Genomic DNA, 24,946 nt, shown 5'->3' with positions numbered 1-24,946 from the left:
CCATCTCCACTGTCCCTTTCCTGTTCCCACTCCATTAGGCCTTGACAAAGGTCAAGGACTTCCCGCAGTCCAATAATAATCTCCTAACATCTCTCCTTGCTTCTACTCTCTCCCTAAATAGGGTGGTGGCAGCAGAATAGAAAGGATCAGATACAACAGATAACACTGAAGGAAAAAATCTACGACTTCAGAAAGTAAATATTTCTAAAAGAAATAGAGAAGTTATGAAGCACAGATTTTATTGCAGCGGACTGGCAGTTTTTACTCTTAGGGTTGGCCAGCTAGTAAATTTATTGCATACCTGCGTGTGTCTGTGGCTTTCGAACTCTGAAATTGTGCATTGACTCCATGAACAAGTTAATACTGTGAGACTGCCACCCTGTGGACAAAATATCAGGACTAAAACCATCAAGAATTAAAGTTTCATTCATTTGCGATTTACTGTTTTAGAACTGGCTTTGGTTCTTCCACGTTGGTGCATGCAGTGATGCTCATTAAATAGAAAGCTTGAAATTAATTTTTTCTCTGAATTTTTTCTGAGGCTTTTAAATAAAGGGAATCTAAAATGGAACCAGTAGTTTTAAAAAGCTGCAATGATTCAAGAGTGGTTTTTAGATGGTACTTCTTTGCTCTAGAAATTTCATATGGAAGGGTTGGTTTTTTAAAATATTGTGGCATGTAGGCCTGTTGTGAAATGGTCATTTATCCCTTTTGTTGTACTGATTTTTTTCATCCCATTTTATAAGACATATGGTATTATCCTTGAGAGTTATATTTTTTGAGAAATATATCAAACATCCCCCCACACCCTTTTTTGGCTAAGTGAAAGTGGCCTTCTTGCCTCGTTTTTTTGTGGATTTGGTTGTAGTTGTTAAAAGTTCTCTACGTTTTGGATGGATTGCCTTAATTGTATTTATACAAATGAGTTTGGTTTATATTACGCTACTTATTTAGAAGGACACTCTGCTCACAAATTATACTAGTTTGGTAGTTTCATAAACTAGCTTGAATCAAAATAAAATGGTGATTGTGAAATACTTATTTGCTCACTGCAACTCAGGAAATGTTTCAGTTTTGGACTCACGACCAAATAAAACTTTCCTAAGAGATGAGCTGTTTACAGCCAATAATGTTATAAATATCTTACACACTTGAATTCCCAGAGGTGTCAGAAGGGGTGGGGTAGCCATTTAGGGCTTGAAATTTGTGTCACCAGTAAAGCAGAAGTGGGTTGAAGCAGCCATCTGGGGTCAGCAATTGTGCCTTATTTAAGAAGGTGATATCCACACTGAGGAGAATGGATGAATCATTGATTGACCCCCTTGCCACTGATACTTCACCATAGAGACCTGGTACTTTACCATAAGGACCTTACGTTTTGGTAATGTACTAATGGTCAAATATAATGTTAATGATCTTAATTTTTTTTTTTTTTGAGACGGAGTCTCAGTCTGTCACCCAGGCTGGAGTGCAGTAGCATGATCTCGGCTCACTACAAGCTCTGCCTCCCGGGTTCAAGCAATTCTCATGCCTCAGCCTCATGAGTAGCTGGGATTCCAGGCGTGCACCACCATACCCGGCTAATTTTTGTATTTTTAGTAGAGATGGAATTTCACTGTATTGGCCAGGCTGGTCTGGAACTCTTGACCTCAAGTGATCCTCCTGCCTCAGCCTCCCAAAGTGCTGAGATTACAGGCGTGAGCCACAGTGCCTGGTGATTTTAATTATTTAAATATTTCTCTGAGTCAGTTCTGAAAAATGTAGTGTGACAAATGCAATAAACTTTAAGTGTTCGGTTTTATTTAACTTTTTCAAAGTAAATATATGGAGTTGTGGGTAACTTTTCAAAATTATTTTTTGCTAACACATATGTCTCACATTCTACAAACAGTGCTGTGTAATTGTAAGTGAAGTAGACTATGATGAAAGTGCACGTTTATGTAGGTTTACAAGGTAAATTGCCATATAATGTAGATCATTTAGATTAGGTTAGTATTATTTAGATACAGTTTAAGAAAAGTAGCTTACTTTCTTAAATTTATTTTTAAGTATTTACTCATTTATTTATTTATTGAGACAGGGAGTCTCTCTGTCTCCCAGGCTGGAGTGCTGTGTCATGATCATGGCTCACTGCAACCTCTAAATGCTGGGTTCAGGTGATCTTCCCGCCTTGGCTTTCTAAAGTGCTGGGATTACAGGCGTGAGCGACTGTGCCTGGCCAAGGAAGGTAACTTTCAAAATACTTGGTGATCTATTTACTCTTCACCTAGGTATTGAATGAAGAGTCAATAAACTTAAAGATATATTTGTTTTCTAGTCTTCTTTAATGGTTTTGCTATGATATCCTTTTTAAAATTGTAAATGACAATGAACTTACATAAATTTTTAGTTTAACATTTCACCAGCACTTAAGAGACTTTATCACACAATATCTTTCTACATTTTTATGCTATAATGGTTACTATTTCAGGATTAATGGAAGTGTTCACTCCTGAGTTCATTTCACAAATTTAAATACTAAAACATTTTGTTCTTTGAAAAGTAATTCTGGCCAGGCGCAGTGTCTCACGCCTATAATCCCAGCACTTGGGGAGGCTGAGGTGGGCAGATCACTTGAGGTCAGGAGTTCAAGACCAGCCTGGCCAATGTGATGAAACCTCGTCTCTACTAAAAATACAAAAATTAGCTGGGCATGGTGGTGCACACCTGTAATCTCAGCTACTTGAAGGGTGTGTCAGGAGAATCACTTGAACCTGGGAAGTGGAGGTTGCAGTGAGTCGATATCATGCCATTGCACTCTAGCCTGGGCGACAGACTGAGTGAGACTCTGTCTCAAAAAAAAAAAAAAAAAAAAGAGAAAAAGAAAGAAAGAAAAGTGATTCTAATATAGACGACTTGAACTTTGAAAAAGCAATAACTATTCTATAAATTTTGTGTGTATGCAAACTTTAAAACATCTTTTATTTTTGAATGCACACTAATCACTATTGAATACACACCTTTGACTTAAAACATTTTTGTGCTTTATTTTAAATTTGTGGGAAGGTGCCTAGCCTAGTGACTTTTTGATCCAGAGAGTCATTCTAGATTGTCGTAAATCTTTATTTGCAGTTTAATCTTATTACTTAAAGTTTTTTGAATTTAGAGTCCAGAGACCAAGATACATTTCTGATTTAGAATGTGTTGATATATTGCTCTATATGAAACTTTTTTATCCGTTTTCAGGTGTGTGTGTGTGTGTTTTTCATTTTCAGTTTTAATCAAACATTTAATTCAACTTTTCAAGGTTGTAATGGGATTCATTTTACCTCAGCTGTTCAAACGTCTGTGTTTATCATCGATACCCTCTAATGCCAAGGTGCACAGAGCTGAAATAGAAAGGAAGGGTACAGCCACAGGCAAAGAGAATGGGATAAGGTGTCCCAGCGCATGAATTGGGGGCAGTAGTGAAGGAGGAGTATCCTGAAGGGAGGCAAAACATAAGCTTAAGGAATTTGGAGCTCCAAGCAGGCAGGTGGCATCAGAGAATTTCAGATATGAGTGGGAATGCCTTTCATTTGTTTTTTTTTCCCTTTGTTTTTATGCCATTTCACATGAACTACAATATTACTGTCCCTTAAAGTGCTACTTTTAAAAACTTTTTTCTTTTGCATTGCCATTACCTTCTAGAAGGTTGTTTGTTTATGAAACATATTTTTAGATGGCTTTTTGCCACAAATGTGTGGGAAATGAAGGCACATAAAGTTTATATGAAAGCAGTCACAACCTGATACTCATTAGGATGGGTCCTATTAAAACAAAACAAAGCAGAATATAACAGGTATTGGCAAGGATGTGAAGAAACTGAAACTCTTGTACAAGAATTCCTGTGTTGGTGGGGATGTAAAATGTTCTGGCCACAATGGAAAACAGGATGGCACTTTCTAAAAAATCTGAAAGAGGCCGGGTGTGGTGGCTCATGCCTGTAGTCCCAGCACTTTGGGAGGCTTAGGCAAGTGGATCACGAGGTAAGGAGTTCGAGACCAGCCTGGCAAATATGGTGAAATCCTGTCTCTACTAAAAATACAAAAATTAGCTGGGCGTGGTGGCAGGTGCCTGTAGTCCCAGCTACTTGGGAGGCTGAAGCAGAAGAATCCCTTGAACCTGGGAGGTTGCAGCGATCCGAGATTGTGCCACTGCACTCCAGACTGGGTGACAGAGCGAGACTCCATCTCAAAAAAAATTTTTTTTGAAAGAGAATTATCATAATCCAGCAATTCTGCTTCTTGATATATACTCAAAATAATTGAAAGCAAGGTCTCAGAGATATTTGTATGTTCTTAGCAGCGTTACAATAATAAATATTTATTATGTTACCAAAAGGTGGAAGCAACCCAAAGATCAGTCAGTGGATGAATGGTTAAAGTGTGGTGTGTACATACAGTGAAATGTGATTCAGCCTTAAAAAGGAAGGAAATTCTGACAACATGCTACATAACCTTGAGGACATTATGCTAAGTGAAATAAGCCAGTCACAAAGAAGATATACTGCATGATTCACCTTATATGAGGTACCTAGAATAGTCTCATAGAGACTTAAGTAGAATGGTGGTTGCCAGGAACTGGGGGTAAGGGAGAAAGGGGGGTTATTGCTTAATGGATATAGAGTTTCAGCTTTGAAAGATGAAAAGAGTTTTGTTGCACCACAATGTGAATGTACTAAAGACTATTGAACTGTATACTTAAAAAGGATTAAGATAATACGTTTTGTTCTACTTTACCCCAATTAAATAATTTTAAAAAGCAAATTTCAGTTTGTATGTGGATACTCTATGCACATTATTTATGAATGTAAACAGCATCTGTAATGATGCAGTTTCTTATTTCACCAATATGTGAGTGTTAGATGCTGGGATAAAACAATGATAAAAGCTGACAAGATCCTCATGAAGCTTGCAGTTTAGTGGGAGAGACGGACATGGATTGAACAAGTAAAAAGTGTGCTTAAGTGTACACGCATGGCAGGGAGACCCCTAACATAGTGTAGGGAAGGGCTGGATTGAGAAGGCTTCCCTAAGGACATGACGTTTCTGTAGAGATCCAAAGGATGACTAAGCCTTATGTAAGAGAAAGGGAGAAAAGGGAAGAGAGAGTAGATTGAGGGAGTAGCATTTTGCAAATGGTCTGCAAGGAGGAAAGAGTGTATTTTGGGAAATGAAAGGCCTGGTGGGCTGTCATGTAGAAAGTGAGATGCAATGGGAGATGAGGCTGCAAGGTATCAAATCATATAAGACATTCTAGGCCATGTTAGATATTTTGAATTTTATCTTCAGCAGAGTGGGCAGATATTGATGGGTTTTAAATGAGGGATTATGGAGGTGGAATGGCATAGGAGCAAGAAAAATGATGTACTTTTTTGTACACTTGGTCTTTAACTGTAAACTACCTGTTTAGTATGGTGCTTGAATGTTGGAGGGGATTGTATATTGGCCACCATTGTGAGCTGTTCATATGGTAAAGTGTACTTAAAGGGTGAACTTAAGAGAATTGTCAAGGGTAATTGAGGATAAGTGATTTTCACCTTGATACTGTGATTTGGTAGTTTGAAGCCCTAGAAATTGATACTTGACTTGGGAGAGTCTGGAGTAAGAAGAAGACTTTGAGCTTTTAGGACCTCTAGTGGTAAGTGGTGAGGAGGTGGGGCAGAGAAAACTGAGAAAGAGTAGTCCAGAATTGGGGCAAAATCAGGAGAGTGTTATCACAGAAGCCAAAGAAGTGTTTAAAGTGATAGGTCTAACACAACAAGTTCTGAAAGTGTTCATTGGATTTAGCCCTGGGAGGTCATTAACTTTAGTTAGATTTAGTGGCATAATAGGGGCAGAATTAAGTTAGATTAGGCTGGTTGAAGAATGAGCGGGAGATGAAGAAATGAGTAGGTGAGGACAGTATATACACATCTTTTGAGGAAGTTTGGCTGTGAAAAGCAGGGAGTGAGAATGAATAGTAGTTGTAGTTGGGGTTGCGGTGTGTGACAGGGTGCCAATTCAGGTTCTTTTTTTTTTTTTAAAGGAAAAACTTGAATTAAAAAAATACCTTCGGCTAGGCGTAGTAGCTCACAACTGTAATCCCAGCACTTTAGCAGGCTGAGGTGGGCGGATTGCTTGAGCCTAGAATTTTAGACTAGCTGGGGTAACATACTGGTATCCTGTCACTATAAAATATTAAAAAATTAGCTGGGCTTGGTGGTGTGCCCATAATCCCAGCTACTCGGGAGGCTGAGGTGAGATCACTCGAGCCCTGGAGGTCAAGGCTGCAGTAAGCTGTGTTTGTACCACTGCACTCCAGCCTGAGTGACAGATGGAGACCTTGTCTCAAAGAAAAGACTGTAGGCAGTTCCAAGATGGCCAAATAAGAACAGCTCCAGTCTACAGCTCTCAGCGTGAGTGACGCAGAAGACGGGTGATTTCTGCATTTCCAACTGAGGTACCGGGTTCATCTCACTGGGGCTTGTCGGACAGTGTGTGCAAGACAGTGGGTGCAGGCCACCGAGCGTGAGCCGAAGCAGGGCGAGGCATCGCCTCACCTGGAAGCGCAAGGGGTCAGGGAATTCCCTTTCCTAGCCAAGAGAAGCTGTGACAGAAGGCACCTAGAAAATCGGGTCACTCCCACCCTAATACTGTGCTTTTCCAACGGTCTTAGCAAATGGCACACCAGGAGATTATATCCTGTACCTGGCTTGGAGGGCCTCATGCCCACAGACCCTCGCTCATTGCTAACACAGCAGTCTGAGATCGAACTGCAAGGTGGCAGTGAGGCTGGGGAAGGGGCACCCGCCATTGCTGAGGCTTGAGTAGGTAAACAAAGTGGCCTGAAGCTCGAACTGGGTGGAGCCCATTGCAGCTCAAGGAGGCCTGCCTGCCTCTGTAGACTCCACCTCTGGGGGCAGGGCATAGCCAAACAAAAGGCAGCAGAAACCTCTGCAGACTTAAATGTCCCTGTCTGACAGCTTTGAAGAGAGTAGTGGTTTTCCCAGCACAGAGTTTGAGATCTGAGAACAGTCAGACTGCCTCCTCAAGTGGGTCCCTGACCCCCAAGTAGCCTAACTGGGAGGCACCCCTAGTAGGGGCAGACTGACACCTCACACGGCCAGGTACCCCTCTGAGATGAAGCTTCCAGAGGAATGATCAGGCAGCAACATTTGCTGTTCAGCAATATTCTCTGTTCTGCAGCCTCTGCTGCTGATACCCGGGCACACAGGGTCTGGAATGGACCTCCAGCAAACTCCAACAGACCTGCAGCCTGAGGGTCCTGACCCTTAGAAGGAAAACTAACAAACAGAAAGGACATCCACACCAAAAGCCCATCTGTACGTCACCATCATCAAAGACCAAAGGTAGATAAAACCACAAAGATGGGGAAAAAACAGAGCAGAAAAACCAAGAATTCTAAAAATCAGAGCACTTCTCCCCCTCCAAAGGAATGCAGCTCCTCGCCAGCAACGGAACAAAGCTGGACGGAGAATGACTTTGACGAGTTGAGAGAAGAAGGCTTCAGACGATCAAACTTCTCTGAGCTAAAGCAGGAAGTTTGAACCCATGGCAAAGAAGCTAAAAACCTTGAAAAAAGATTAGACAAATGGCTACCTAGAATAACCAGTGTAGAGAAGTCCTTAAACGACCTGATGGAGCTGAAAACCATGGCAGGAGAACTACGTGACGAATGCACAAGCTTCAGTAGCCGATTTGATCAACTGGAAGAAAGGGTATCAGTGATTGAAGATCAAATAAATGAAGCGAGAAGAGAAGTTTAGAGAAAAAAGTAAAAAGAAACGAACAAAGCCTCCAAGAAATGTGGGACTATGTGAAAAGACCAAATCTGCGTCTCATTGGTGTACCTGAAAGTGACGGGGAGAATGGAACCAAGTTGGAAAACACTCTTCAGGATATAATCCAGGAGAACTCCCCCAATCTGGCAAGGCAGGCCAACATTCAAATTTGGGAAATACAGAGAACACCACAAAGATACTCCTTGAGAAGAGCAACTCTAAGACACATAATCGTCAGATTCACCAAAGTTGAAATGAAGGAAAAACTGTTAAGGGCAGCCAGAGAAAAAGGTCGGGTTACCCACAGAGGGAAGCCCATCAGACTAACAGCAGATCTCTCAGCAGAAACTCTACAAGCCAGAAGAGAGTGGGGGCCGATATTCAACATTATTAAAGAAAAGAGTTTTCAACCCAGAATTTCATATCCAGCCAAACTAAGCTTCATAAGTGAAGGAGAAATAAAATCCTTTACAGACAAGCAAATGCTGAGAGATTTTGTCACCACCAGGCCTGCGCTGCAAGAGCTCCTGAAGGAAGCACTAAACATGGAAAGGAACAACTGGTACCAGCCACTGCAAAAACATGCCAAATTGTAGAGACCATTGATGCTAGGAAGAAACTGCATCAACTAACAAGCAAAATAACCAACTAACATAGTAATGACAGGATCAAATTCACACATAACAATATTAACCTTAAATGTAAATGGGCTAAATGCTCCAATTAAAAGACACAGATTGGCAAATTGGGTAAAGAGTCAAGACCCATCAGTGTGCTGTATTCAGGAGACCCATCTCATGTGCAGAGACACACATAGGCTCAAAATAAAGGGATGGAGGAAGATCTACTAAGCAAATGGAAAACAAAAAAAGGTAGGGGTTGTAATCCTAGTCTCTGATAGAACAGACTTTAAACCAGCAAAGATCAAAAGAGACAAAGAAGGCCATTACATAATGGTAAAGGGATCAATTCAACAAGAAGAGCTAACTATCCTAAATATATATGCACCCAATACAGGAGCCCCCAGATTCATGAAGCAAGTCCTTAGAGACCTATAGAGAGACTTAGACTCCCACACAATAATAATGGGAGACTTTAGCACCCCACTGTCAACATTAGACAGATCAATGAGTCAGAAAGTTAATAAGGAAGGATATCCAGGAATTGAACTCAGCTCTGCACCAAGTGGACCTAATAGACATCTACAGAACTCTCCACCCCAAATCAACAGAATATACATTCTTCTCAGCACCATATCGCACTTATTCCAAAATTGACCACATAGTTGGAAGTAAAGCTCTCCTCAGCAAATGTAAAAGAACAGAAATTATAACAAACTGTCTCTCAGACCACAGTGCAATCAATAGAACTCAGGATTAAGAAACTCACTCAAAACTACATGGAAACTGAACAACCTGCTCCTGAATGACTGCTGGGTACATAACGAAATGAAGGCAGAAATAAACATGTTCTTTGAAACCAATGAGAACAAAGACACAACATACCAGAATCTCTGGGACACATTTAAAGCAGCGTGTAGAGGGAAATTTGTGGTACTAAATGCCCACAAGAGAAAGCGGGAAAGATCTAAAATTGACACCCTAACATCACAATTAAAAGAACTAGAGAAGCAAGAGCAAACAAATTCAAAAGCTAGCAGAAGGCAAGAAATAAGTAAGAGCAGAACTGAAGGAGATGGAGACATAAAAAACCCTTCAAAAAATCAGTGAATCCATGAGCTGTTTTTTTTTTTTAAAGATCAACAAAATTGATAGACCACTAGCAAGACTAATGAAGAAAAGAGAGAAGAATCAAATAGATGCAATAAAAAATGATAAAGGGGATATCACAACTGATACCACAGAAATGAAAACTACCATCAGAGAATACTATAAATACCTCTATGCAAATAAACTAGAAAATCTAGAAGAAATGGATAAATTCCTTGACACATACCCCCTCCCAAGACTAAACCAGGAAGAAGTTGAATCCCTGAATAGACCAATAACAGGCTCTGAAATTGAGGAAATAATTAATAGCCTACCAACCAAAAAAAGTCCAGGACCAGATGGAGTCACAGCCGAATTCTACCAGAGGTACAAGGAGGAGCTGGTACCATTCCTTCTGAAACTATTCCAGTCAATAGGAAAAGAGGGAATCTTCCCTAACTCATTTTATGAGGCCAGCATCATCCTGATACCAAAGCCGGGCAGAGACACAACAAAAAAAGAGAATTTTAGATCAATATCCCTGATGAACATCGATGCAAAAATCCTCAGTAAAATACTGGCAAACTGAATCCAGCAGCACATCAAAAAGCTTATCCACCATGATCAAGTGGGCTTCATCCGGGGGAATGCAAGGCTGGTTCAACATAAGCAAATCAATAAACGTAATCCATCATATAAACAGAGCCAAAGACAAAAACCACATGATTATCTCAATAGATGCAGAGAAGGCCTTTGACAAAATTCAACAGCGCTTCATGCTAAAAACTCTTAATAAATTCTGTATTGATGGGACGTATCTCAAAATAGTAAGAGCTATTTATGACAAACCCACAGCCAATATCATAATGGGCAAAAACTGGAAGCATTCCCTTTGAAAACTGGCACAAGACAGGGATGCCCTCTCTCACCACTCCTATTCCACATAGTGTTGGAAGTTCTGGCCAGGGCAATTAGGCAGGAGAAAGAAATAAAGGGTATTCAATTAGGAAAAGAGGAAATCAAATTGGCCCTCTTTGCAGATGACATGATTGTATGTCTAGAAAACCCCATTGTCTCAGCCCAAAATCTCCTTAAGCTGATAAGCAACTTTAGCAAAGTCTCAGGATACAAAATCAATGTGCAAAAATCACAAGCATTCTTATACACCAATAACAGACAAACAGAGAACCAAATAATGAGTGAACTCCCATTCACAATTGCTTCAAAGAGAATAAAATACCTAGGAATCCAACTTAAGGGATGTGAAGGACCTCTTCAAGGAGAACTACAAACCACTGCTCAATGAAATAAAAGAGGACACAAACAAATGGAAGAACATTCCATGCTCATGGATAGGCAGAATCAATATTGCAAAAATGGCCATACTGCCCAAGATAATTTATAGATTCAGTGCCATCACCATCAAGCTACCAATGACTTCACAGAATTGGAAAAAACTACTTTAAAGTTCATATGGTACCAAAAAAGAGCCCACATTGCCAAGTCAATCCTAAGCCAAAAGAACAAAGCTGGAGGCATCACGCTACCTGACTTCAAACTATACTACAAGGCTACAGTAAGCAAAACAGCATGGTATTGCTACCAAAACAGATATAGACCAATGGAACAGAACAGAGCCCTCAGAAATAACACCACACATCTACAACCATCTGATCTTTGAAAAACCTGACAAAAACAAGCAATGGGGAAAGGATTCCCTATTTAATAAATGGTGCTGGGAAAACTGGCTAGACATATGTAGAAAGCTGAAACTGGATCCCTTCCTTATACCTTACAAAAAATTAATTAAAGATGGATTAAAGACTTAAATGTTAGACCTAAAACCATAAAAACCCTAGAAGAAAACCTAGGCTTTACCATTCAGGACATAGGCATGGGCAAGGACTTCATGTCTAAAACACCAAAAGCAATGGCAACAAAAGCCAAAATTGACAAATGGGATCTAATTAAACTAAAGAGCTTCTTCACAGCAAAAGAAACTACCATCAGAGTGAACAGGCAACCTATAGAATGGGAGAATATTTTTGCAATCTACTCATCTGACAAAGGGCTAATATCCAGAATCTACAAAGAACTCAAACAAATTTACAAGAAAAAAACAAACAACCCCATCAAAAAGTGGGCGAAGGATATGAGCAGACACTTCTCAAAAGAAGACATTTTTGCAGCCAACAGATACATGAAAAAATGCTCATCATCACTGGCCATCAGAGAAATGCAAATCAAAACCACAATGAGATACCATCTTACACCAGTTAGAATGGCAATCATTAAAAAGTCAGGAAAGAACAGGCTGGAGAGGATGTGGAGAAATAGGAACACTTTTACACTGTTGGTGGTACTGTAAACTAGTTCAACCATTGTGGAAGATGTGGCGATCCCTCAATGATCTAGAACTAGAAATGCCATTTGACCCAGCCATCCCATTACAGGGTATATTTTCAAAGGATTATAAATCATGCTGCTCTAAAGACACATGCACATGTATGTTTATTGTGGCATTATTCACAATAGCAAAGACTTGGAACCAAGCCAAATGTCCATCAATGATAGACTGGATTAAGAAAATGTGGCACATATACACCATGGAATACTATGCAGCCATAAAAAAGGATGAGTTCATGTCCTTTGTAGGGACATGGATGAAGCTGGAAACCATCATTCTCAGCAAACTATCGCAAGGACAAAAAACCAAACACCGCATGTTCTCACTCATAGGTAGGAATTGAACAATGAGAACACTCGGACACAGGAAGGGAAACATCACACACTGGGGCCTATTGTGGGGTCGGGGGAGTGGGGAGGGATAGCATTAGGACATATGCCAAATATAAATGACGAGTTAATGGATGCAGCATACCAACATGGCACATGTATACATATGTGACAAACCTGCACGTTGTGCACATGTATGCTTGAACTTAAAGTATAATAATAATAAAAAAAAAAAGAAAAAGAAAAAGCTGTAACCCCAGCACTTTGGGAGGCCCAGGCAGGCGAATTACTTGAGGTCAGGAGTTAAAACTGTGCAAAGTGAAACTTTGCCTTTACTAAAAATACAAAAATTAGCCGGGTGTGGTGGCATGCAGCTGTAATCCTAGGTACTCAGGAGGCTCAGGTAGGAGGATCCCTTGAACCTGGGAGGCAGAGGTTGCAGTGAGCTTAGATCGTGCCACTGCACTCCAGCCTGTGTGACAGAACAAGACTGTCTGAAAAAATATAAATACATAAGTAAATAAATAATATCTCCTATAGAGTTTAGGAAATATTTGAAAAATATACACTTTGCTTAAACAGGATCTACTGAATACAAATATGACCTTCCCACTGACTTAGTCTAAATATGGTATTCCGGGATTGTGTACACACAGGTATTGAGATGTGAAGGTCTGTATGTTACTATACTAACTTCTGATCATCTGGAAAGTAAAAAATAGAGAATCTTGAGTCCACCTAAGACTTACAGTTGAATCTTTAGGTGTAGGACTCAGGAGTGTGTGCATCTTTAGATGATTCTGGTGCATCTGATCTATGGACTGGCTTTTTGAAGTCTTCTGGATGCCCTTTTTTTTTCCCCCTGGAAAAAGGGTCTCACTCTGTTGCTCAGGCTGGAGTGCAGTGGCGCAATAATGGCTCACTGCACCCTCTGCCTCCTTAGCTCAAGTGATCCTTTCTTCTTAACCTCTGAAGTAGGTGGGACTACAGGTGCGCGTCACCACACCCGGCTAATCTTTCTGTGTTGTTTGTAGAGACAAGGTTTCTCCATGTTGCCCAGGCTGGTCTCCTCAGCTCCAGTGATTTTCCTGCCTCAGCCTCCCAAAGTGCTGGGGTTACAGTCATGAACCACTGCACCTGGCTCTGGATGATTTTTAATAGTTCTGTCTTGAGGATTAAATGAGATGTGTATGTCAAGGACTTAGCAAAGAAAGACTTTGAAAATGTCGTCTGCTTATACAGTTCGGATGGTGTAATAGGTTTTTTTTTTTTTTTTTTTGATGAAACCAGCTTGATCCTTTTTTTCTTACTGTAAAAGTGCTTCATGCTCTGTATAGGTTCTTCTCTAGCTGCTTTTTGTACTTCTTCCCTCTCCTCTCTGCATTCTAGCCATGATGCTTCCTCCTACCCCACTGCCTTTGTTTGTGCCTATAATTTTCTCTCCTGATGGTATGCTTCCTCAGCCTCTTTACATGACTGGCTGCTTAACATTCAGGTTTCATATCCACGGTCACCTTTTCAGAAAGGCCATCCCCAATCACTCTATCTAAAATAGGTTTTCCTGGTCATTCTTTGTCACTTGTTGATTTCCTTCAAATGGGGACAGGGACCATGTTTGAATTGTTTACCTTAGTCTGCGGAACAGTGCTTGGCTCATAGTAACTACTTAAATACCGAGTAACAAATATGAGTCATAGAAATCTTACTAGCCAGAGTAAGTACTGTTAACTCTTTGTGCAGGGATCCCCAGCCCCCTCAGGCCTGCAGACTTGTACCCATCCGTGGCCTGTTAGGAACCAGGCGGCACAGCAAGAGATGAGCAGCAGATGAGCGAGCATTACTGTCTGAGCTCCACCTCCTGTCAGATCAGCAGCAGCATTAGATTCTCATAGGAATATGAACCGTATTGTGAACTGTACATGTGAGGGATCTAGGTTGCCTGCTTCCTAAGAGAATCTAATGCCTGATGATCTGAGGAGGAACAGTTTCATCCCAAAACCATCCTCCCCAACCCCTGCCCCCCATCCGTGAAAAAATTGTCTTCCACAAAACTGTCCCTGGTACCGAAATGGTTGGGCACTGCTGTTTTAGTTGACCATCATTGCATATACTGAAATGTAGATCATGCATATATAAGTATTATGTGATCACATACTGTTTTGTAACTTTTATATTTCACTTAAATATGTCCTGGAGATTTTTCCATACCTGTACCATTTTATTTAGACAATAGCAGTATGGTACATTCCATATAATGGGATATAGTTTCTGTGACGTTTCCCGATTTACATAATAGTTTGTTTCTAGTTTCTTACTACTTTGAACAATATCGTGCTGAATATATATCTACATCTTTGCACGTGTATTTATTTTGTTAGAATAAATCCCAAGGACTGAAACTGCTAGATAAAAAGATAGAGGCATTAAAGTCTTTTGGTTGTGAAGTTGCCTTCTGGAATGATACTCTTTGGACTCTCATAAATAAAATATGAAAACATTTTTTTCCATGTACCCTCTCTAATCATTTGAATCTTTGCTAATTTAATTTAGTAGGTGAAAAATGGCATTGTTTTTCTGCTCTGAGGTTATGAGAATGAACATCTTTTCCTGTATGACTACATTTCTTTTGTGAAGTGCCTATTCATGCCTTATGCCTGTTTTTCTATTAGGGTATTTGTTTCAATTAACAATAGCTTTTTCCCTCCATATTTTATTATGAAAGTTTTAAAACACACAGCAAAGTTGAAATTTTATAATGAGTACTCATACACCCACTACCTAAGTTTTTATTAAATTGCAGATATTAGTACATTTTCACTTAAATATTTTAGCATGCATGTCATTGAGCAGTGTTTCAGTATTTTAGTTTTTTTCTTTTGAGATAAAAAACTGTCTTAGAACTAAATACATATATCTCTTTACCTTAAACACTTTATTTTAACTTAAAACCTAGAATTGGATGTTAATTGGTCAATCTTTTGATGAAGGGTCCAAGACCATTTTCTTTGAGAGTGAGCCCACTGTCACAGTTCTGTATTGTATCGTCTTAACTGCACATCCACAATATATTGCCTAAGATTTCTAGTTTTCGTTTTTTAAGTGAAGCAAGAGATTTATTTTGGAAAGCATTTGCTGAGTTTTGACAAATGTATTTGCTTGTGTAAGCTAAACTTAAGAATAGGTTTTTTTTTTTTTTTTTTTTTAAAAAAAGGACTTTTTGTCATATTTTTCCCTAGTTTGTTCCTAGCCTTAGCTTTGGTTATGGTAATTTTAAAAATTATTTATTTACTTACTTATTTATTTTTTAAGATGGGGTATTGCCGTGTTACCCAGGCTGGTCTCAATCTCTTGGGCTCAAGCGATCCACCTACCTCGGCCTTCCAAAGTGCTGGGATTACAGATGTGAGCCACTGTACCTGGCCTAGGTTATAGTGCATTTACATTTTTATGTACTAAAATGTCATCCTTTTCCTTTACTTTTTTTTCCTGCCCTTTTGTCATACATAGAAAGTCTTTTTTTTTTTTTTTTTTTTGACAAAGTCTCTGTCACCCAGACTGGAGTGCAGTGGTGCAATCTGGGTTCACTGCAACCTCCACCTCCTAGGTTCAGGCGATTCTGCCTCAGCCTCCCAAGTAGCTGGGATTACAGGTGTCTACCACCACGTCTGGCTTATTTTTGCATTTTTAGTAGAGACAGGGTTTCACCATGTTGGCCAGGCTGGTTTTGAACTCCTGACCACAAGTGATCCACTGCCTCCGCCTCCCAAAATGCTGAGATTACAGGTGTGAGCCACTGCGCCTGGCCAGAAAGTCATTCTTTATCAATTAGTGTATAAATGTTTATCCATATTTTATTCCATACTTTTACATTTAAATGTCTAATTGGAATAATGTGATATAGGGACTTAAAAATTTTTGGCAGTGCTTTTAAATTGTTAGCTAATGCCATTTGATGAACAAACTTTTTTGCTTTGAATTTTTTCAGACAAGATAGAATCTAATGTTTTTATAGATACCTTTTCTTTGAGACGGGGTCTCGCTGTCACCCAGACTGGAGAGCAGTGGTGCCATCTCAGCTCATTGCAACCTCGATCTCCTGGGCTCAAGCAGTCCTCCTGCCTCAGCCTCCCCAGTAGCTGGGACCATAGGCTTGAGCCACCATGCATGGTTAATTTTTGTATTTTTTGTAGAGATGGGGTTTCAACATATTTCCAGGTTGGTCTCTAACTCCTGGGCTCATGTTGTCTGTCCACCTTGGTGGCCTGATACCATTTTTATTATCATCACTGCCCAAAGTGCTGGGATTACAGACATGAGCCACCTCACCTGGCCTGATTCCATTTTTATTATCTAAGTTTATATGTAATATCAGATCTTTTTATTTTACATCCTGTCCTATTTATTCCTGTACTTAGCTGCTTGAGGTAATTTGTGGCATATTCCTCCTCACTATTCCTTTTTTTTTTTTTTTTTAAGGTTTCTTCACTTTGCTAACATAGTCTTTCTTTGGGTGAACTTTAGCAGATCCTTGAGGGATGGGGAGAAAAAATATAGTGGGGAGACAGTAGCAAGAGTGAAAGTAGAGAGGTTGGTAAACTCTGGAGATTTACCTCAATAACTTGTAATTGAATTCTTAGTCTGTGTAGCACATTATACATGCATATTTTTGTATCCTTAAATTTGGGAAATGTCTGTTGAGGATGTTCAAACTAATTTCTTTTTTCTTTTTTTTCTTTTTTTTTTTGAGACGGAGTCTCGCTTAGTCGCCCAGGCTGGAGTGCAGTGGTGTGATCTCGGCTCACTGCAACCTCCACCTCCCAGGTTCCAGCAATTCTCCTGCCTCAGCCTCCCTAGTAGCTGGGACTACAGGCATGCGCCACCATGCCCGGCTAATTTTTGTATTTTTTAGTAGAGATGAGGTTTCACCATATTGGCCAGGCTGGTCTCAAACTCCTGACCTCATGATCCATCCGCCTCGGTCTCCCAAAGTGCTGGGATTACAGGCATGAGCCACCGTGCCCAGCCTCAAACTAATTTCTAAAGTTCAAAATATTTTTGAGGTTTGAGGTTTGGGATGTTATAGAAAGGGCATAGGATTCTGGAGTGAAAATGGATTTAAATGTTGGCTTTAAGTTTACTAACCATGTGGCCACAGGCAAGTTGTAATTTTTGACCAAATGTATGTATCACAGATATTATTTCTCATTATTCTGTTACTTGACTGGGTGATTCTTGAGATCTAGGCTGACCCATCTTGGCCTAAAGGCTTAATCGCCTTCAGGAGAGAGACTTGGAGATAGAAACTTGAGAACATTAAAAACGCTTAGCACATTGTATATGACACTTAGCACATTGTATGTGCCCAAGAAACATTTCCTAAAATGAATCTAAGTCTAAAATACTTTTAAGGTTTTTTTTAATATATATATATATTTTATTATACTTTAAGTTCTAGGGTACATGTGTACAACGTGCAGGTTTGTTACATATGTATACATGTGCCATGTTGGTGTGCTGCACCCATTAACTCGTCATTTACATTAGGTATATCTCCTAATGCTATCCCTCCCCACTCCCCCCACCCCACAACAGGCCCCAGTGTGTGATGTTCCCCTTCCTGTGTCCAAGTGTTCTCATTGTTCAATTCCCACCTATGAGTGAGAACATGCGGTGTTTGGTTTCTTGTCCTTGCAATAGTTTGCTGAGAATGATGGTTTCCAGTTTCATCCATATCTGTACAAAGGACATGAACTCATCATTTTTTATGGCTGCATAGTATTCCATGGTGTATATGTGCCACATTTTCTTAATCCAGTCTATCATTGTTGGACATTTGGGTTGGTTCCAAGTCTTTGCTATCGTGAATAGTGCCGCAATAAGCATACGTATGCATGCGTCTTCATAGCAGCATGATTTATAATCCTTTGGGTATATACCCAGTAATGGGATGGCTGGGTCAAATGGTATTTCTAGTTCTGGATCCCTGAGGAATTGCCACACTGTCTTCCACAATGGTTGAACTAGTTTACAGTCCCACCAACAGTGTAACAGTGTTCCTATTTCTCCACTTTTAAGTTTTAAAGTGTCATTTGTGTCAATGATTTGACTTCAAGTGTGGAGGGAGAGAAGCAGAGTAGTTTAGCTATAGCCAAAACGTTTCATTTGTCATGATAGTAAAACATGAGTTCAAAGAAAGTATTAATTGTTCATCTATATGGCATTAAGAAATATGAATAAATAAAGCCAGAGTCTAAAATCTTATTTGAACATTCCTTTTTGCTGAAACTTAGCTGCCTGCTTCTAATTAGAAAAAAATTTTTTTTTGGCCGGCTGTGGTGGCTCATGCCTGTAATCCCAGCCCTTTGGGAGGCCGAGACGGGTGGATCACGGGATCAGGAGTTCAAAACCATCCTGGCTAACACGGTGAAATCCTGTCTCTACTAAAAATACAACAACAACAAAAAAAAATTAGCCGGGCGTGGTGGCGGGCACCTGTGGTCCCAGCTACTTGGGAGGCTGAGGCAGGAGAATGGCGTGAACCCGGAAAGTGGAGCTTGCAGTGAGCCGAGATTGCGCCACTGCACTGTACTTCAGCCTGGGTGACAGAGCAAGACTCCATCTCAAAAAAAAAAAAGAAAAAAAGAAAAGGTTTTTTGTTGTCGTCAATTTTTGTTGTTGTTGTTGTTGTTGTTGTTTTTTTTTTAACAAGAAGTTGTGTTAAGTAAAGGCCTGAAAGGGACAGAAGACAAAAAGTCGAATGGAAGGGCCACTTTACCCTAATCTTTTGGGAGTTTTCCTTTTTTTTTTTTTTTCTTTTTGTTCTTTTCCTCATCTCTGTATCTCTTTCTCTCTAAAGTATTATTTTTCACCTATTAATGTATATGGGGGTGTTGAGGTATAGACCCTGGGTCAAATCCAGAAGCTATTCTCTCTTTACAGATGCAGAGCTTTACTGCTGTAGACTTGATTCCTAAACAGGGCTACCATACCCATCCTAACCCAGCTGTTCAGAGAATTTAGATTAAGTCAGGAAAGTGAGAAAGTGGCCTTGGCTTTTTGTGTACTTTAGACCTATACAGTGGTCTAAATGACCTGAGAATGGTTCAATTGGGTGGAAAAGGGAAAAAAAAAAGGTTTATCATTGAGCCAATAATTAGTTCAATTTCTGAATGTTTCATTTAGCAGATATTTATTAAATAACTACTGTGGGACAGGCATGCTATCATGCTGAAATAAATGACCAATGAGGCGTGTAAACAAATGATACGGAATGTAATGTTCTTTACCAGGTATTCTAGCAGAGTAGGAAGAGTATTCCAGTAGGAAGAGTTCTGAAGGAAATCTATTCATCCTTGAGTGCTCAAAATGCAAAGAGTGCTTTGCGCATAGCAGTAACCATAAGTGTGTGTACGAATGAATAAACATGATTCAAACAATGTGATTAGATCATTTACAAAATACTGTGAGAGCACAAAGGAGGAAGTGACCAATTCTTCCTTTTAATGACACAGTGAGGAGAGAAAGGCTCTTGGGAGATTCAGTAGGTGGAGAAGGCCTGAAAAGGTAGAGTGAAAAAGCATGACAATGCTCTGAACTAACAAGTTCAGATGTAGAGTATATGCTGGGGGCGTAGAATGCCGAGGTAAGGCATGATAAGGTAGACAGAAGTCAAGATGGATAAATGTTTTGTATTGGAATTTATTCTGTGGGTGCTGATAGGCCAGTGAAGGTTTTTTTTTTTTTTTTTTTAATAGGAATATTAAGGGGTAGAATTTGAGACATTCCTTTAAAAATAAATTATTCTTGAATTGGGAAATCAAATGATAGAATTGTAAAAATTATAAGCATATATGTTGGCAATGATTATGGCTAATAAGTCGTATAATATATGGTGGAATCTGTTTTATCCCTTTCAGATAACATATAATCTTAGTACAGATAAAACCATTTTAATCAAAATATGCATGATGTCATCAGTTTGTTTTTGAAAGAGATTTATTTTTACTTTATGGAATTATTACAGACTGTATTCTTTCTTAAAGATTCTGGCATTTTTTTAAAACTTATTTTGAAATGATCTTAAGTTTAGAAAAGAGTTTCTTAAATAGCGCAAAGAAGTCGTGTATATTTTTTATCCAGTGTCCACTGATGTTAACGTCTTATGCAGTCATAGTATAGTGATGAAAACTAAGAAACTAACATTGGTACAGTGCTATTAACTGTAGACTTTATTAGGATTTTCCCAGCTTTTCCACTAATGTCCTTTTTCTGTTCCAGGATCTAGTCCAAGATATACCACACTGCACTTAATGGTTATCTCTCTCATCCCCCCAAATCTCTTTTTTGACCTTGACCCTTTGGAAGAGTACCAGTCAGGTATTTTGTAGAATGTCCCTCAATTTGATTATATCTCTTGTTTTCTTGTGATTACGGCCTGAAGTAATGAGTTTTGGGGCTCTTGGAGGTTTTTTAAAATTTCATTTTATTTTTCAAATTATCATAAAGTTGACTTTTTTGTGGACAGCTCTGTGAATTTTGACATGTCTAAGTTTGTGTAACCATCACCATAATCAGGATATAGAACAATTCATCACTTCCCCAAATCCTCATGCTCTCTCAATAGTCACACCCTCCCCAAAATCTGTATCCCTGGCAACCACTGATCTGTTCTCCATCAATGTAGTTTTGTCTCTTCAAGAAATGTTATATAAATGGAATCATATAGTATTCAGTGGTCCCTAACCTTTTTGGCACCAGTGACCAGTTTCATGGAACACAATTTTTCCACAGAAGTTGGTGGGATGGTTTCAGGATGAAACTGTTCCACCTCAAATCATTGGGCGTTAGATTCTCATAAGGAGCACGTAACCTAGATAGTTTGCATGCACAGTTCACAATAGGGTTTCCTCTCCTATGAGAATCTAATTCTCTGGCTGCTCTGACAGGAGGCAGAACTCAGGTGGTGATGCTCGCCTGCCTTGGGGTTGAGGACCCCTGCAGTATGTAACCCTTTGACACTGGCTTCTTTCACTCAGCATAATGCTTTTGATTGTCATCTAAGTTGTATTTATCAATAGTTAGCTCCATTTTATTGCTAAGTATGGATGTACTGCAGCTTGTTCATCTGCCTCTTTTCGTTATGTATTTGAGAACATACTATGTGTCCTGGCACTATAACAAGTAATTTAAGTGAATTATTATGTGAAATAAGGATTATAACTGTCCCTTTCACAGATGTGAAAACAGAGGCTTAGAGAGTTTAAGTAGCTTTAAGTTAAAAACTAGTCAATAGTAGAGTTAGGACTCAGCCTGGGTCACCCACTCCAAACCCCATGTTCTTAATCATGAGGCTACACAGCTAGTTGCTAATGTTGGTTTCCTCATTTCTCTGTTTTGACCAGAAGTGTAACTAAGAGAAGTTAAAGTTCACATTTCTTTAACGTGTCCTAAAATTCCCTTTCTTTTCTCTTTTATCAAAGAGCAAAAATAATAATAGCAGGGGTAATTTTTTAAAAAATCATTTTGGGGGCTAAGAGTTCTGTGATTCAGGCCTAAAGCAAAAGGTTAAGCCAAGTCAGTCATCAGTCCGTAGGACATTATGACTTAACATTTAACATTGAGTGGTTCTGTTTATGAGCATTGTAACCATAGTACTAAGTTTTTTCTTTGGTTTGTTTTTTTTTTTTTTTTAGAAACAAGGTCTTGCTCTGTCACCCAGGGTGAGTGCAGTGGTACAACTGTAGCTCACTGTGACCTCAAACTCCTGGGCTCAGGAGAATCTTCTGCTTTGGTCTCCTAAGTAGCTGGGACTACAGGCTTGCACCACCATACCAGGCTAATTGTTTTATTTTTTGTAGAGACAGGGTCTCACTGTGTTGCCCAGGCTGGTCTTGAACTCCTTGCCTCAAGTGATACTTTCACCTCAGTGCTGGGATTATAGGCATGAGACACTGTGCCCGGCCCTGTTTTTTCTTAATCTCCTTATAAATAGAATATTTGTTTTACAGATAATTAATAAATATCGCTGGGCGCAGGGGCTCACGCCTGTAATCCCAGCACTTTGGGAGGCTGAGGCAGGAGGATCACCTGAGGTCAGGAGTTCAAGACCAGCCTGGCCAACATGGTAAAACCCTGTCGCTACTAAAAATACAAAAATTAGCTGGGCATGGTGGTGCATGCCTGTAATCCCAGCTACTCAGGAGGCTGAGGCAGGAGAATCACTTGAACCCGGGAGGCAGAGGTTGCAGTGAGCCGAGATCGCACCATTGCACTCCAGCCTGGGCAACGAGAGCAAAACTCCATCTCAAAAAAAAAAAAAAGTAAATAAATAAATATTAAATAAAAATGGAGAGGCATTCTAAATCAGCCTGGTTTAAAATAAGAGGGTTGCCTTCTATGATATTGCTTTAAATTTTACTAATGACAAAGGTAGTTGTCTTTTAAGAACTGAAATTTTGGTGTATTTAAGATGACCCTTTTTGAACTTGTGTGCTAACAGCCCATTTGCTGAAATATTCTACTGCTATAAGATAAAAAGAATGTTTCTAGAATGTTAGTGTAGTATTTCTACATTTTATTAGTGAAGTATGATATGTATAATTACATTTTCATGGATTTTATAAAACTTCTATGTTATTCTGGGTATCTGGTAACTTTATGTGTTACCTTAGCAAATTATATAACAATTTGATGAGGAGACTTTTTTTTTTTTTTTTTTTTTTGACACGGAGTCTTGCTCTGTTGCCCAGGCTGGAGTGCAGTGGCACGATCTTGGCTCACAGCAACCTCTGCCTCCCGGGTTCAAGCAATTCTCTGTCTCAGCCTCCCTAGTAGATGGGATTACAGGCGCCCACCAACACCCCTGGCTAATTTTTTTGTATTTTTAGTAAAGACGGGGTTTCACCATCTTGGCCAGGCTGGTTTTGAACTCCCAACCTCGTGATCCACCCACCTCAGCCTCCCAAAGTGCTGGGATTACAGTCATGAGCCACTGCGCCTGGCCAAGGAGACTTGTTTTAAGTGTAGCCTCAGTTTGATTTTTTGTTCTCAGTTCTGTAGATACTATTCTGAGAACCTGGAGAGGCTATAAAATCAAATGTCAGAATTGGAATGGATCTTCAAAATTATCAGCTCTCTAGATTGTCCCAATATTTTACAAAAAAGGAAACTGAAATTCCATAGTAGTGTGAAATAACTTGTCCACACTTACAGTTAGTTGTAGAAGCTGTACGATACAGTTCCTGCTCTCAGGTACATTACTGGTTAATCAGTGTAGAAACAGACTTGTACAAAATTGACAGTAATACAAAATAGAATGTTCTAGATAGTAAAGGTACTGCTTTTCTTTTCTTTTTTTCTTTCTTTCTTTCTTTTTTTTTTTTTTAATAGGGTCTCACTCTTTCACCCAGGCTGTAGAGCAATGATGCCATTATGGCTTACTGCAGCCTCAACCTCTTGGCTTCAATCCTCCCACCTTAGCCACTTGAGTAGCTGGGACCCCAGGCACGCACCACCATGCCTGGCTCATTTCTTTTATTTTTTTGTAGAAATGGGGTTTCATCATGTTGCCCAGGCTACTGTTGAACTCCTAGGCTCAAGTGATTCACCTGCTTCAGTTCCCTGAAGTGCTAGGATTATAGGCGTGAGCCACCATGCCTGGCCAGATACAACTTTTCTTAAACAGTCTCGTCACCTCCCCACTGCACCCCCCACCCCCCAAAAAAAACAACCCAAATCAAAAAAGCTTTCTCTTGACCCTTTCACAACAAAATTACTTTCTTTTTATGTGTGTGAGACAGAATCTCACTCCTACCCAGGCTGGAGTAAAGTGGCATGATCACGGTTCACTGCAGCCTCAATCTCCTGGGCTCAAGCAGTCTTCCCACCTCAGCCTCCCCAGTAGCTGGGACCACAGGCACACACCACCAAGTCTGGCTAATTTTTATTTATTTTTATTTTTTGTAGAGACAGGTTCTCACTGTGTTGCCCAGGCTGGTCTTAAACTTCTGGGCTCAAGTGATCCTCCTACCTTAGTCTCCCAAAATGTTGAGTTTACAGATGTGAGCCACCACACCTGACCCAAAATTACTTCTGTTTTCGGTTTTTCATCTCTTATTCTCTCTTAAACTTTACCTAATCAGGGTTTTTTGTTTGTTTTTACCTTTGCTGTACCATGAAAACTTTCCTTTCAAAACCAACAGTGACCTCCATGTTGCCAAATTCAACTGTCATTTTTTTCTCAGACCTTATCTAACTTGATCTGCCATCAGCATTTGGCACAGTTGCTCATTCCTTATTCTTGGAAACACACATGCCTTTTTTTCTTCCTACATTTCTGAGTATTCCTTTTAGCCTTCTTTGTTGTTATGCCTCATCTTTTCTACTTCTAAATGATGGAGTGTCCCAAGAGTCTGTCATTGTTGCTTTTCTAACCTATAGCTTTAATATTATATACATGTTAATGTAATATAAATATAAATATATATATATGGTAATTATTCCCAAGTTTATGATCTCTAGCCCATACCTTTAACCTGGGCTTTAGGACTGTATATTCAACTCCAGGACTGCATATCTAATTTGGTGTCTCTAGTCTGATAACTAATGAGCATCTGAAGCTTAATGTGTTCAGAACTGAACTCTGATATTCCTCTACCTCAAACCATTGCCATTTGTCATCTTTCCTGTCTCAGTTTTG

General features: G+C 39.6%; 1 protein-coding gene across 3 annotated transcripts in view, besides 1 other annotated feature; it reads left to right on the top strand.

Annotated features, from left to right (window-relative positions):
• ELF1 (E74 like ETS transcription factor 1) overlaps nt 1–24,946 on the top strand; it is a 129,468-nt gene that overhangs the window by 6,598 nt on the left and 97,924 nt on the right. The window lies entirely within an intron of this gene.
• Nucleotides 1,101–1,150: an enhancer, noted in NCBI's record as "active region_7624". NCBI's record gives its function as "activates an Ori minimal core promoter by ATAC-STARR-seq in GM12878 lymphoblastoid cells {active_cell/tissue: GM12878}" and the evidence as "EXISTENCE:reporter gene assay evidence [ECO:0000049][PMID:35858748]".

Source organism: Homo sapiens, chromosome 13 (genome assembly GCF_000001405.40).
Source record: "Homo sapiens chromosome 13, GRCh38.p14 Primary Assembly".
NCBI lineage: Eukaryota > Metazoa > Chordata > Mammalia > Primates > Hominidae > Homo > Homo sapiens.
This window is presented reverse-complemented; position numbering and strand designations above follow the sequence as displayed.